The 16,321-nt window shown below is 38.0% G+C and overlaps 1 protein-coding gene across 4 annotated transcripts in view; it reads left to right on the forward strand.

Moving 5' to 3' along the window:
• RASGRP3 (RAS guanyl releasing protein 3) overlaps positions 501 to 16,321 on the forward strand; it is a 128,384-nt gene continuing 112,563 nt past the window's right edge. For all 4 annotated transcript variants that reach the window (NM_001349975.2, NM_170672.3, NM_001349978.2 and 1 more), the window contains exons 1-2: positions 501 to 744; positions 11,973 to 12,096. The gene's annotated coding sequence lies outside the window, so the exon portion shown is untranslated. The remainder of the gene's footprint in view (positions 745 to 11,972; positions 12,097 to 16,321) is intronic.

A 16,321-nucleotide genomic window follows, 5' to 3' on the forward strand; every position in this document is an offset into this window, starting at 1 on the left:
GACCTTAAGTAATAACAGTTTTAAAAATTGTCTTTAAAATTAATGTTTTGAAAGCATGGCATACACAGTATAATATTTGAAAGGGAAAAAAATATGTATGTCACAAATTAAACTGTCCCTTCATTCCAGACATACACTCCCACCTTGAAGAATCAACCATATTTAAGTGTCTATAGGATATGACAACTTATAGTAAAACTGAGACCATAGGAAATTAAAGAAAATGTTGACTATGGTGCACAGACCAAAGCTGAATTATTTGAGGCCAAATTTTTAGTTTGTTTGTTGGTATTCATTTGAAAGAAGCACACATGCACTCATATACCTAAGGCTGCTTTCTGAAATCAAATACATTTCCTGCCTTCTTCTTTCCTCAGTACTCTTACCACCAGCCTATTTATAGCCCAGGAAAGGAAAAAGCTCCACTGGAGGCAGGAAAACTAAGTTCGGAAAGAATAGGAGGAAGTCTGCCTGCCATTTAGCCAAACAACCTTTAATTCATTGAGCTCAAAGCTTAGCAGCTTCAATGTTGTTGTTAGGCATAAACAGCTTGCAAATTTCAATTTTTTTTCTCTCCTCACTTTTGAACTAGATTTGGGCAATGGAGGTGATGACAGCATTTTAGAAGACAGAACAGGAATTCTAGGTGTTTAGGCACGTTGAAGAGAAACTTGCTAGAGGTGATGAAGTGGAAAGAAAAAGACAATTCACTATAGGGATCAACATTATTGCAGTTCTGCAAAGGTAAGTGTCATTTAAAAATCTGTCTGTTGTTGCGTCTTAATGCACTTCATGAACTATGGATATTAGCCACAGACAATGGATATGATTTGAGGTCCGATCCTCATGTAACTTTTCAATATGCTTTGCTCATATCTCTGAAGAAATGTAGAAATCAACCTTGGTTATGACATCTTCAGGTTTTTACAATAAATATTTTAAAAAGTTGTTTCTTGACAATAACTTTACAAACTTTCTTCAGTTTCATTATTATCAGGGGTTTAGATAGTATAAATAATTTCATTGATGATCACCTTTAAAAATATATTTTTGATATTTGTCTGCTTGTCTGCCCTTTTCAAATTGCTGATTAATAATCCACCTATAATTTATTTGATGAATAATAGTTTAGAATACTTTTAATAAATAGGCCTTCAAGCAGAAATGGACAATTGTATAAAAGTTATATATAAAATTTAAATTTTGTATAAAATTAAGCAAAGATAACAAATTTTAATACAGGTTTTTTGTCTTGAACATTCATTTTTCAGAAAATGGAGAATCTTCTAGAACCACAAAAAACAGCACTGAATAGTTTCCAGTGATAGAAAGTGTTCATAGTAGTTATGTAGATTTAAATTATTATTTCCAAACATTCGTTCATTATGTTTTGAGTACCTTGAAAAATGTCACTGGGTTTGGAAATGGTAAGGTTGAAAGGAAATGGATTAAATCCAAGAACAGTTGATGTTGCCCACAAAAACTTGGAAAGCTACTAGGGACATTCCAAATTCTTTTAACATTCTTTGCCATTAAACAAGCACATTTGTTTAAATGATGCACCATATTTGCATCCGCTGCTGATAATAACCACATTTGTGTCTTGGAGTAACTTGATTAATGTTACCACAATGACTAACAGAGGAATACGGTTCTGGTGGATTATTGAAAAGGAAGAGCAGAAGGAAATGTGTGGCTGTTATTTCTTTTGCCCTATCCCTGTTTGAGATTGGGATGTTTAGAATCTGTCCCAAGAAGATAGCAAAGCTGGAAGCCAGAAAAGCAGAACCAGCTAGAACCGGCACAGGAGGCCAGGACTCGGCTCAGGCTCAGTGTGGATCCCACTGGCCGTCTTCTTTCCTGGGAGAATTTAAGGGTTATTTTTTACTGATTAGAAAATTATAATTCCATGGAAACTGTTAGAAAGTATAATATGTTTGAATAGAAAGATCATGATTTCTTAGCTGAACTTAAGTGGTTAAAAAAAAAAAGAGAGGGAAATGAAATTAATCTGAATAAATATGATAGATCTGAAGAAACAAACAAACAAACCCTCAGCATTTATTTTCAGGACATTCCAGTGCTGCAAAGTCAGTTCTGAGTCCACTTTAGATCTTCCACAGAGTGGACTCTAAGGTGACTTAATTAATTGCCACGCCACATGGCTCTAATTACAGCAATGTTGCTTACAGCAATTCTGATTTCTGATCATGTTGAACTCATTTCCCTTAGAGTTTCAAAACAACGTTCACATTTGACACATTCACATGTTTACATTATGAGAATGAAAATGTTTTAACTGTATGTAAGGTTTAAGAAAGATAAAATTATGAGTTAGATGTATTATTTCAAGAATATATTTTTTCACTTGTAAAAGGCTCATTGCTGGTCATTGGTTTCCAGATGACCATAGATTTATAAATGTATTCATGGGGCCAGGCGTGGTGGCTCACGCCTGTAATCCCAGCACTTTGGGAGACCGAGGCGGGTGGATCACCTGAGGTTGGGAGTTTGAGATCAGCCTAGCTAACAGGGTGAAACCCCGTCTCTACTAAATATACAAAATTAGCTGGGCGTGGTGGCACATGCCTGTAATCCTTGCTACTTGGGAGGCTGAGGCAGAAGAATCGCTTGAACCCAGGAGGTGGAGGTTGCAGTGAGCCGGGATCGCGCCACTGCCCTCCAGCCTGGGCAATGGAGTGAGACTCCATCGCCAAAAAAAAAAAAAAAAAATTGTATTCATGAAATGCCAGGTATTTAAAATACAGTTCTTAGAAATTGCTTAATAGTTCTACGGTAGTTCTACAGATTGTTTTATGTATCTACAAGTTGCTGAGAACATTTTAAGTTAGAGTTAGCTAATTTTGAAAAAAATTATCAATTTTTTAGCTTTTTAATTAATTACATAGAAATGTATTGCCTTATTTCCAGAGTAACTCCTACAATCACCATGTGTTTACAGTTTACATAATAATAGAGCCAACCCTGGCCTTCACATTTAAATACAAGTAAAATCAGGTTACTGAAGAGACCATATGAAGCAGCAAGAAATTTAGATGTCACCAAATACAATGTACAACTTGGGGGATGTGTTGAAGAGGGATGTGGGAGAAGCATGCCAAGGTCTTCTTCTTCAGACTGGAAACTACACCCACCTGCCATCTGGCCTGACGCTGGGTGGGGTAGAGGGGTATTGCACGATGATTCTTGTGTATTTACAGGCACCTTAAATTCAGACAATTGGCTTTTGGAGACTTTTCTCCTACTGTCTCATCCTGTATTACAGGTCTACAAGCAGCACCACACCATGAACACCTATTTATTAAGTTTTCTAACTTACAATATAATCTCTATCCTTGAAAAACTCAATGTTAAGTTGAAAAAAGGGAAGTATACAGGACACAAAGCATCCTGTATGTGGAGCCAAATTAATGACGTAGATAATGAGTGCCACCTAAGGAAGACCTGATCCAGACGGGCTTCATGGAGGCCTGAGGCTGAGTTGGGTCTTGGTAAGCGGGAGGAGAGCTGATGGATGAGGGAGATGAGGACATCTATGATAAGAATGGAGCTGTGAGCATGAGCAGAGACAGGAATGGCCTTCCTGCGCCCAAGGAATAGGGCTGTCAGATGAAATACAGGATGCCCAGTTCAATGTGAATTTCAGATAAACAACAAACACTTTTTTAGTCTAAGTGTGCCCTACTGCATGACTGTGTATGAGACTTAGTGCATGGGACCTACTTATACGAAAATAGTATTTGCTGTTTATCAGAAACTCACACTTAGCTGGGGGCCCTGTATTCTGATTTCCCAAATCTGGCAACTCTTCAAGGGAACTGAGAGTCAGCCAGCTTGACAGCAGCAGAGGGAATGAGCCTATGGAGCAGGAAAGAAGTGCCTGGAGGAGGCTGGGTTCAGAAGGTGGTGGGACTTTAATGGTGAACTAAGGAGTCAAGAATTTAAAGACACCTGGGGCCGATGAGAAGTTCTGAAAAGGGAAATGGCGTGCATAAGATCTGCCGGTTGGAGGCAGAACTTGCTGGGGGAGAGATCAGGGCACCGAGGCCTGGGTTCTGATGAAGACAGAGAGAAAGAAGCCCAATGGAGACACATCTGAGAACAAACTGACGCGTTTTGCAAACTAATTGGGTATGGTTATAGGAGGAGAGAATGTGTTCAAGAGGATGTTATGTTTTATGGCTCCATTCAAAGAAATGGCCAAAGAGACAGCAGCAGGTCAGGGAGTTAGTGAGAGGGATGGGGATTTTGGTTTCAAACACAGGAAATTTGAGGGAATGATGGAATAGTCAGATAGAAATAGTAAGCGAACAGCTGAGAATGGAAAACAGCTTAGGAGGGAGGTGAGAACTGGAAATAAAAACGACAACATTTATTAAGCACTTACTCGATGTCAAGCCTTTTATCTCCATTATCTCCTTCTGCCTCTGCAACCATCTATCGGCAGGTTCCATTGCCAGCCACATTTTGTAGTTGAGAAAAGTGAGGTCAGAGAGATTAAGTAACATGTCCATGATCACATCATTAATGAGAGGCAGATGGAAAATGGAACCACCATGTGTAGGGGCCAAAGCCCTCACAACTGAGACTCATATACAGAATGTTGAGCCTCTGGCTCTAGATTCACTTTCTCCATCTGCAAAGAGCTAAGGGCGCCAGTTGCTCATGCTAGAACCCAGTTTTTAGCCAGGTTCCAGGTCTTCTATTGTTCGTAACTTTGATGGCCCTCGTAGAATTCTCCATCTTTTGGTTACTCTCTCTGAGAAAATGGAAATCATTTATACCCAGAGGTTTTCCTTATTTATTAACCTCCAGAATCGTTTTTCCCCTTAGTGGCTCATTTTAAATTTTCCCTTGGTCATCTGGTGAAATAAAGATTATGATGAAGAATCTATAATCTCATATAGTTACTTTTTTTGTATGACATGTGTGGCTAAAACATACTTATTTTACAAAAATCCCGAATACAATACAATTTTATTAAATTTCATCTTGAGGTTGGACATTAGATCTCCAAACTTGTTTTTTTTTCTTTCTTCTTCAAGACAAGGTCCCCCTCTATCACCCAGGCTGGAATGCAGTGGCACAAGCTCGGCTTGCTGCAGCCTCCACCTCCAGGGCTCAAGTGATCCTTGTGCCTCGGCCTCCCAAATAGCTAGGACTGCAGGAACACGCCACTGCACCCACTAATTTTTGTATTTTTTAGTAGAAACAGGGTTTCACCATGTTGCCAAGTTGGTCTTGAACTCCTGACCTCAAATGATCCTCCTGCCTCGGCCTCCTGAAGTGCTGCGATTACAGGCGTGAGCCACGGCACCCAGCCTCCAAACTTGTTCTTTAGTGTCTGCTATTTTGTATCCTTTGACCTATATGTCCCCATTTCCCTTTCCCCCCTCCTCCCACCCTTAGTGGCCACTGTTTCATTCTGTATCTCTGTGTTTTAGGGTTTAAAAAATATTCCACATATAAATTAGATCGTGCAATTTTTAGAAAAAGGTTATGCTGAAGAGAAAAGACCAAGGGTGTCAACCTCCTCTCCTTGTCCCTGGCTGCTCTCTAGTGGCAATACCAGAAAACAACGCTCAGCCCAGAGACAGCAGAGCCAGGCACTAGAAGCAAGCTCTTTAGGAATCTCTAAATAGCAAATTCAAGAAGGCTAGTTGTGCTAGGAAATTCTGGAAGAAGACTCCATGGAATTACATACACCCTTACAGCTTGTTGGCCTGAAAGGCATTTTGAATAGAACAGTTTTAGATTTATCTTAAACTTTCTAATCATTAAAAATACTTCACCTGTTTACCATTTTAGGCAGGCACATATGTTTGGCTACTAAACTTTCAATGCACATACGTGCCTTTTTATTAAGATTTCCTAGATCTTTGATTCTAAATATTTACTTCAAAATACACAATATATTTTTTAGTAAAAAGCAAAAAGTCTATCTTTTAGGGATCTATTCTTAAAAACATCATAAATTGAGACAATAATGCGTGTGTAAAAGACTATTCATAACAGATACATTTTGTAACTAACCTAAATATACAGGGAATTGTTAAATAACATTCCACAATATGAAATTTTATACAGACATTAAATTACATTATAATATTTAATGACATTGGAAACTATTCATAGTAAATGTTAAGTGAACATTTACACTTACATTCAGTGAATGTAAGAAGTCTACAAAATTATGTATATAGTGTGACCCCATTTGCTTAAAAAATATATATGTACATATGAAAAAAGAAGTAAGAGCTAAAAAGTCATACACCAACTGTTAACAATAGAAATTTCTTAGCCTGGCCAATATGGTGAAACTCCATCTCTACTAAAAATACAAAACTTAGCCAGGCGTGATGGCATGCGCCTGTAGTCCCAGCTACTCAGGAGGCTAAGCCAGGAGAATTGCTTGAACCCAAGAGGCGGAGGTTGCAGTGAGCCAAGATCGCGCCGCTGCACTCCAGCCTGGGTGACAGAGCGAGACTACGTCTCGAAAAAAAATTTCTGGTTGGTGGGATAATGGTGATTTTGATTTTCTACTTTGTCTCCAGGATAAATAAGCATGTACTACTTTTATAATCAGGAACAAAACCCAGTATGTTTTCAAAATGTACAGAGCTAAGTCTCTGTTCTGATTTCTTGCTGTCATGGCTGACAATATGTTCATGCTAATTCATTGCCATTGACGGCCTCTCCTCCAAGTAAAGGGCTATATCCTGTTTGTGACAGCATAATCCATTGTAATGGAAAAGATTATGATGCACTGGCCTGTTCTATGACTTCACTGCATTCATCAGCAGCAGGAAACAAAGACATGCACTTTTTTCATAATTGTTTTAGTAATAATTGACAATTGGAGGAAATGAATGGCAGAAAACAATTATGGGCAGACAAGATGGTCAGCAAATCAAACTGGGAAATGCAGGGGAGCCCGTCTCAGCTTTATTCATGTAGCGATTTCAGAACATTACAAAGATATTATTGTTTTGTTCTCCTACAGAAATCACTATTGTTTTTTTTTTTTTTCTTTTTTACCAGCAGTTACACAATTCTTTGCTGGCAGCAATGACTTCCAATGTGTTTTTAATTCAGTAATCCGGTAATCCCACAACAGGGATTTGCTGCTGAACTTTTTATGTTTATTAATATTCAGGGTCAGTGTGAACGCCTCCCTGTGCACATAGCTAGTAAAATGCACAGCGATATTGCTGTGACTTTTCTTGCCTCTGAATAACTCCCTGTTGCCCAGACATAGAATCTTAAAAGTGTTTCTTTCTATTACATTTATAAATAGCAAATTCATGTTTCTATTTTTTAAATTGTCCCTAGTCTTCATTTTAATAGCAATGGGCAGGAGAATAAAACAACAAAAACTCAAAACAAGTGAATTAATGATTCAATATCTAGTTTCCATGCCATGAAATGGGCACATCCCTTAGATGAAAATGAGGGATGGGTTATCAATTAGGAAACAGTTAAGTAAGGCAGGTATTATGCTGTGGTAACATTTATTTATTTCTCTTAGCGGCCTGTGTTCATAGTTGTCTTGCTGGGTATTACTAGAATTCTTTGGATGGGGAAACTAAACATGTGTGGGCTGTTACATCACTCCAAGTCATACTCTTCTCTGGTTAGCCTGATATGGAGTAAAATTCGGCAGCAGCTCTGACTTCCAGTTTTAAAGACTACTTACTGCTCTTACTATTTATTATGGAACACCCTACAGCACAGTCCTGTAGAAATACATACCTGTAATCCCAACAATTTGGGTGGCAGAGGCTGGAAGATCACTTGAACCCAGGTGACCAGCCTGGGCAACATAGTGAGATCCTGTCTCTAAAAAAAAAAAAAAAAAAAAAAATAGCTGGGCATGGTGGTACGTGCTTATAGTCCTAGATATTCAGGAGGCTGAGTTGGCAACATTGTTTGAGCCCAGTTGTTCAAGTCTACAGTGAGCTATGATCACACCACTGCACTCCAGCCAGGGCAACAAAGTGAGATCCTGTCTCAAAAAAATTAAAAAAATAAAATATAAATAAAATGTGAGCCACTAATGTGACCTACATAGTTCATTTTACATTTCCTAGTGACCACATTTCAAAAAATAAAAAGAAACAGATAAAATGAATTTTAATATCATAGTTTAAGGAGTGGGGGATAGTGCCTTACACCTGTAATCCCAGTGTTTTGGGAGGCAAAGGTGGGAGGATTGCTTGAGGTCAGGATTTCAAGAACAGCCTGGGCAGCATGGCAAGACCCTGTCTCTACAAAAACAATTTTAAACATTAGCTGGGCATGGTGGTGCATGCCTGTAGTCCTAGCTACTCAGGGGACTGAGGTGAGAGGATTGCTTGAGCCCAGTATTTCGAGGATGCAGTGAACTATGATTGCACCACTCACTGCACTCCAGCATGGGCAACAGCAAGACCCTTTCTAAAATAATAATAATAATATAGTTGATTTAACCAAATATATCCAAGATAACATTTCAACATGCACCCAATATAAAAAACCACTAATAAAAACTTTATATTCCCTTTTTGTAATAAGTCTTTGAAACCCAGTGTGTATTTTATCCTTACTGCATGTCTCAACTCAGACTAGCCTCATTTCAAGTTGATAGCTTCAGGTGCCTAGTGGCTACTGTATAAGACAGTGCAAATCTAAACAGAAGAGCTACGGTGCCACCCACAGCTCATAAATAATGTGAAATTTAGACTATGAGATATTGCTACCTTTTCTGTACTCACAGTCATCTCCATTCTGAAACATTTGAGCTGAACATTCTATATCAAGTAAGATTGAATAGTTGAATAGCAAGCCAAGGACTGGCAGTTTTGGAGATTTGGCTTATTAGAATGATTCAGCTCTTCACCTGGGCTGGGTAACTATGGATTCCTCAGTTGAGAATTAGGGCAATAGAAGTTTTTTTAATAAACATTATCCAAATTTGAAATCTGGATGATATGCTTGTAAAAGACTTTATCATAATGTTTTGAAGTGAATTTTAGGTATAGGAATAGATTCAATTACACAGCCTAAAATCGAGTTCCAAAAACCATTATAGACATTATGCTCCTAATAGTGCCTACAACTTAGTACAAAGAAATAAATCTTTAGCAATGGAAACACACACAAGTGCACATGCACACACGCACATACTTCCAACATTGTGACCACTTGCTGATGTCTTTTCTGCATTTTGCATTGTCTTATTTGAAGGATAGGAAGTATGCTATAATAATCTTCTATAACTACTATGCCTTGGGGACTCTCATGCCAGTCAGCTGGTGTGATAAAGATAGCTTCTGTGTGCTAAATACGGAGATACAAAAATAGAACTGGTGGAAGTGGATAAAATCAGAAGACACTGTAGGTTCTTATGGCCCCACCAATGGCAGAGACCTGGAAACATAGGTCTCTGAAATCCTGGCAATGAGTTGCAGCCAACTGGAATGATCACATTTTTGGTTCTTGTCTTATTCCATGAGGGTTTGGTTATGAAACTAGAGTTTAACCAGTCAGAAAATTCTGAAATCAAAATAAAAGTTAAAGACATATATAAATAATGACCATTCATTGCATGATTTACAAATTGGTAATGGTCCAAAAGTTTGTTTTTAATAATTTTCTTGGCCCTCTGAATTCACTTTACATTTTCCCCATAGAAACAAAGTTATAAATAGTGACTGCATACTGCACCTAAAATGCCACGTATCTACAACGAAATTATTACAATGTATTTATAATATATTATTTATTCTAAACATGTATGCATTTGAAATTATTCAATGAAATCTAACTATTGATGTACTATTTCTACATTAATACATTATATCATATATTAATATGCTAATAATTATATCACATTAATATATTAATAATATGTTAATTAACCAAACAGAAAAAGTATATACTGGATCAACAAAACCACCTTGAATTCAAAGCAACAAACACTAGTAAAGAATCCAGGAAGTGCCAGGTGCTATACTAGAGTCAGGGACAAGCGTAAGAGATAAATCATATTTATCTTGTTTCTTAATATTGGAGGAAAAGCAAATTTACCAACGAAAAATGAGGAAGTAAATGGAATTCTTTTTTTTAAAGGGGACTGCCTTATCTAAGTGACCCTTAGGTAGAGAGACCTTTTTTAGGCTTTTATGTCTAATTTTACTGTTAAACTTTGTGCTTGCCTTTTCCTGAAGGACAAAGTACGACTAGTTCTGCTGTTAATGTGTAGCCATTCTTTTTTGTTGGTTCCCAAATAGGGTAATTTTGTTCGTTTGTTTGTTTGTTTTGTTTTTGAGACGGAGTCTCGCTCTGTCGCCCAGGCTGGAGTGCAGTGGTGCAATCTTTGGCTCACTGCAAGCTCCGCCCCTTGGGTTCACGTTTCTCCTGCCTCAACCTCCCTAGTAGCTGGGACTACAGGCACCCGCCACCACGCCGGGCTAATTTTTTTGTATTTTTAGTGGAGATGGGGTTTCACCATGTTAGCCAGGATGGTCTCGATCTCCTGACCTCATGATCCACCCGCCTCGGCCTCCCAAAGTGCTGGGATTACAGGCGTGAGCCACCCACACCCGGCCCAAGTAGGGCAATTTTTTTTGGAAATTTTTTGGATTTTTTTTTTTTTGGTTCCCAAATAGGGTGAGATTTCTGTGAAGTAACACTTGGCTAAGAAGTAGAAGAGAGGAAAGTGAAGAGAATGGTTAGAATTAAATATGCAGGCACATGAGAATTGTGCATGATTGTCCAGTTCTCCTTGGAGAAAGGGTGAGGAAGACTAGAGACTGAGCCTCAAGAAATGATCCTCAACAGCCTCTAGGGTGGGGAAAAGGAAGGGAGGGAATGTGTGCAATTTCACATTCAAATTGCACATACAAATTTCCGAGTCAGTTAAAGAAAAATCTCTTGGTGAGTGCCATTAACTGTTGGATCCTGCAGAGACTACCATTAAAAAAATATATCAATAGAAAATGAGGAAGGACTGGGCCGGGTGCGGTGGCTCACTCCTGTAATCCCAGCACTTTGGGAGGCCGAGGCGGGTGCATTACGAGGTCAGGAGATGGAAACCATCCTGGCTAACGCGGTGAAACCCCGTCTCTGCTAAAAATACAAAAAATTAGCCAGGTGTTGGTGGCGGGTGCCTGTAGTCACAGCTACTCGGGAGGCTGAGGCAGGAGAATGGCGTGAACCTACACTCCAGCCTGGGTGACAGAGCGAGACTCCGTCTCAAAAAAAAAAAAAAAAAAAGAGGGGGAAGCAGTGACCAAGTCAGGCATGAATGGGCCTTCAGGGAAGGTCAAGAAATCTGGGTTGAGTGGTCCCACTGGTTGATTTCACAAAACAGTGAGAATCAGGGACCTACAAATGAGTTGAGATTATGTATGTAGCCCAAGGAACAGGAGGCTGGGCCAGGGGGACAGACTGTTCTGGAACACTCTCTTATTTCTTCTGCTGGGAACTAGGGCTGTTTCTCTGGTAATGGAGGCCCTCTGACAAAGACAAAACATAGGGTAATTGTGCCACATGCTACTCAAAGAGGTGCCCCAACCTTGGAGTGTGCACATTTTTTTTTTTTTGAGACAGAGTTTCACTTGGTCACCCAGGCTGGAGTGCAGTGGTCCGATCTTGGCTCACTGCAACCTTCGCCTCCTGAATTCAAGTCATTCTCCTGCCTCAGCCTCCTGAGTACCTGTGATTACAGGCGTGCACCACCATGCCTGGCTAATTTTTTGTGTTAGTAGAGACGAGGTTTCACCATATTGGCCTTGAACTCCTGATATCAAGTGATTCGACCGCCTTGGCCTCTCAAAGTCCTGGGATTACAGGCGTGAGCCACCGCACCCGGCCCATGTCTGTGTTTTCTATCTGAAACTGTCTCCTCACCTTCTGGTCAATGAATGCATCCTTCTTCAATGTCTTCTCTCAATTTCTTTTGTTTCTAGGATATTTTCTTTTAAAACATCCATATCTCTTCTTTGCCATGGAAACTACACCCAATCTACCTGAACCTGCGGCACCCCTCTGATGACCCATTTGGATTCTCTGATTTCACTGCCAAGATTCTCAGTGAGTATTCCATCACATACCACCTTTATTTTCTCAAGTCTCTTTCAGATTTTAAACACATAAAATCTGATCACATGTTTTCAACCCCACTGAAACTGTGATGTCAGAAACTTTGTAAATTATGAAGTGAACAACATTTTTGTTCTTCCTCATTTGATGATGAAGCTGTCACCAGTCTTGAGTGAATTTGCCCTCTTCAGAAATGCTATAACATTTATATACTGTAATACTATATAAATACTTTCTTATATATTTAATCCCATGTCTGGTGGTGTTTCTTTAATTTATTCAACTACTATTTGCCTCTGTGGTTAATTTTCCAAGAGTTTCTTCTCTCAACAACCTAATTATAAATTCCTTCATGTCTAGGCCTTATTTTGTGCTTTAAAAAAAACTCTCTGTGGTACACTAATGTTCATAGCAGCATTATTTATAATAGCTGAAAGGCAGACACAACCAGACACAACCCACATGTCTATCAACAGATGAAGAGATAAACAAAATGTGGCATAGACATGCAATGGGAAATTATTCAGCCATAAAAAGGAATGAAGTTCTCATATATGCTAAAATATGAATGTACCTTGAAAACATCATGCTAAGTGAAATAATCCAGACACAAAAGAACAAATATTATATGATTCCACTTATGTGAAATATCTACAATATGCAGATTCATAGAAACAGAAAGTAGATTAGAGGTGGCTGGGGGTGGGGGGAAAGGGAGAATAGAGAGTTATTTCTTAATAGTTGTAAAGTTTCTGTTTGGTGTGATAAAAAAGTTTTGCAAATAGTGGTGATGATTGCACAACATTGTGAATGTAATTAATACCACTGAATAGTACACGTAAAAATGGTCAAAATAGCAAATTTATGTTATATATATTTATTACAATTTAAAAATTAACTATATAATATAGCAAAACGCAGTGAATTGTATGGTATGTGAATTATGTTTCAATAAACCTATTTTAAAGAAATCCCTCTGGGAACCAGATATAACCTTACATATAGTAAATGTTTAAGTAATATTTTGTATCATTTGTTGTAATGAGATTCATTAGGACACAAATTTACATGTGGTAGAGATTAGACATGTTTTTCAAATTATGCATACCAGGTATAACATGATTACTCTCTGTTTGGGGCTTTAGGTAGGTTTAGACAAAAGCCAAGTGCTGTGCAAGTGTGATTGAGACCTTAAACAATGTCTTCATCATTTCTACCTCTCCCAGATTACCAGACATAAGATCAGGTGCATGACACATACCAACTTCCTAATCTTAAATTTGGTGAATGAATGAAAGTATTAACAAAGTATGCAGAGTTACCTTGCATATATATGCATATATGTTTTTTCTCAACCAACCTTTCGTCATTGCAATTGAGACATTACTTTTTCAGACATCTACTTTTAAGACATAATACGTTATACTATGTAGATAGCATAGAATATTGTGCAGGAATCTAGAAAAAACCATGTTTGATGACATACAACAGAATATTTCATGACATTGGAATATTTAATAATATTTAGGCCGGGCGCGGTGGCTCACGCCTGTAATCCCAGCACTTTGGGAGGCCGAGGGGGGCAGACCATGAGGTCAGGAGATTGAGACCATTGTGGCCAACATGGTGAAACCTCATCTCTACTAAAAATACAAAAATTAGCTGGGCATGGTAGTGCATGCCTGTAGTCCCACTCCTAGGGAGGCTGAGGCAGGAGAATTGCTTGAACCTGAGAGGCAGAGGTTGCAGTGAGCCGAGATTACACCACTGCACTCCAGCCTGGTGATAGTACGAGACTCCATCTCCAAAAAAAAAAGGAATATTTATTACAGTGAAAATATTTATGATATATAGCAAATACAAAATGCAAACTTTTGTATATTTGACCATTATGCATTTTAGTAAAGATAAGAAAGGTATTTTATTACTTATTTCTGTGTAACAAATCATTCCAAAACTAAGTGCCTTTAAACAACTGTAAGCATTTATTACCTCACATGATTTCTTTGGGCCAGAAATTCAGGAGAAGGTCAGATTAAGGAGTTTCATTTGTGAGGTTGCAGTCAGTTGTCACTTGGGACTAGAGTCTTCGGAAGACTCAATAGGGACTAGAGATTTACTTTTCTTATCGTTATTTCCAGCCCCCAAGCTTTATTAAGATATTGACAAACTAAAATTGTATATATTTATGATGTAAAACATGATGTTTTGATATATGTATACATTACAAAAAGATCAAATCACCTATTTAACATACTTATCACCTCATATACCAATCATTATTTTTGTGGTGAGAACATTTAAGATATATCCTCTTAGCAATTTTCAAGTATACAATACAATATTAACTGTAGTCATTATGCTGTACAACAGAACTTATACATCTTGTCAAACTGAAATTTTGTACCCTTTGATCAAAACCTCCTCATTCTCACCTCTTCCCAGCCCCTTGCAATCCTCATTCTACTCTCTGTTACTGAGTTCAACTTTTTTAGATTTCACAAAAAATGAGATCCTGCAGAACTTGTCTTTCTGTGTCTGGCTTATTTCACTTAGCATAATAGTCTCCAGGTTTATCCATGTTGTTGCAAATTACAGAATTTTCTTATTCTTTAAGGCTAAATAGCACTCCATTGTATATACCGCATTTTCTTTATCCATTCAACTGTCAATGGATGCTTAGGCTGATTCCACATCTTGGCTATTATAAATAATGCCACAATGAACATGGAGTGTAGGTATCTCTTTGACATGCTGATTTCATTTTCTTTGGATAAATACTCAGAAGTGGGATTGCTGAAGTATATGATAGTTCTATTTTAAATGTTTTTTTCTTTTTTCTTTTCTTTCTTTTTCTCTTTCTTTCTTTCTTTTTTTTTTTTTTTTTTTTTTTTTTTTTTTTTGAGACAGAGTCTTGCTCATTCGCCCAGGCTGGAGTGTAGTGGCATGATCTCGGCTCACTGCAAACTCCACCTCCCAGGTTCACAGCATTCTCCTGCCTCAGCCTCCTGAGTAGCTGGGACTACAGGTGCCTGCCACCACGCCTGGCTAATTTTGTTTTTGTATTTTTAGTAGAGACAGGGCTTCACCGTATTAGCCAGGATGGTCTCGATCTCCTGACCAGGATGGTCTCCAACTCCTGACCTCGTGATCTGCCCGCCTCAGCCTCCCAAAGTGCTGGGATTACAGGTGTGAGCCACCGTGCCCAGCTGAGCATTTTTTCATATACCTATTGGCCATTTGTATTTCTTCTTTTGAGAAATACCTCTTCAGGTCCTTTATCCATTTTAAAATTTGAATTATTTGTTTTATTGCTATTGAGTTGCTTTGAGTTCCTTACATATTTTGGATATTGGTCCCTTATCAGATATAATACATAGTTTTCAAATATTTTCTACCATCCCACAGGCTGTCTCTACAGTCTGTTGATTATTTGCTGTGCAGAAGCATTTTTGTCTGATGCAATCTCAACTCTCTGTGTTTACTTTTGTTGCCTGTGCTTTTGGAGTCATATCTAAGAAATCATTGCCGAGACCAATGACAAGAAGATATTCCCCTATCTTTTCTTGTAGTAGTTTTATAGTTTTCAGGTGTTAAGTTTAAGTTTTTAATCTATTTTGAGTTTAAGTTTTAATCTATTTTGAGTTCATTTTTGTATGTAACGTAAGGGTTCGATTTCATTTACTGCTGCTTTCAAAGTTTTTTCTTTGTCTTTTGAGAATTTGATTGTAATGTGTCTTGGTGAAGATCTCTGTATTTAATCTGCTTGGGGCTATTTGGGCTTCATAGATCTGGATGCTCATTTGCCTCTCCAGATTTGGGAAGTTTCTTATCATTATTTCTTTACCTAAGCATTCTGCTCTTTTTTCTTTCTTTGCTACTTTTGTGAATCCCCTAATGTATATATTGGATTGCTTGATATTGTTTCATAAATCCTATAGGCTTTTTTCATTCTTACTTCTTCTTTGTTGTTGTTGTTGTTTCTCTGGCTGAATATTTCAAATGATCTGTCTTTGAGCTCACTGATTCTTTTTTCTGCTTGATTGAGGCTACTGTTGAAGCTCTCTATGGAATTTTCAGTTCCATCACTATGTTCTTTAGATCCAGAATTTCTGCCTTGTTCTTTTTTATGGTTTCTATACCCTCATCGAATCCCCTATTTTGCTTTCATATTGTTTTCATGATTTGATTTAGTTATCTGTATTCTCTTATAGCT

Source organism: Homo sapiens, chromosome 2, assembly GCF_000001405.40.
Source record: "Homo sapiens chromosome 2, GRCh38.p14 Primary Assembly".
NCBI lineage: Eukaryota > Metazoa > Chordata > Mammalia > Primates > Hominidae > Homo > Homo sapiens.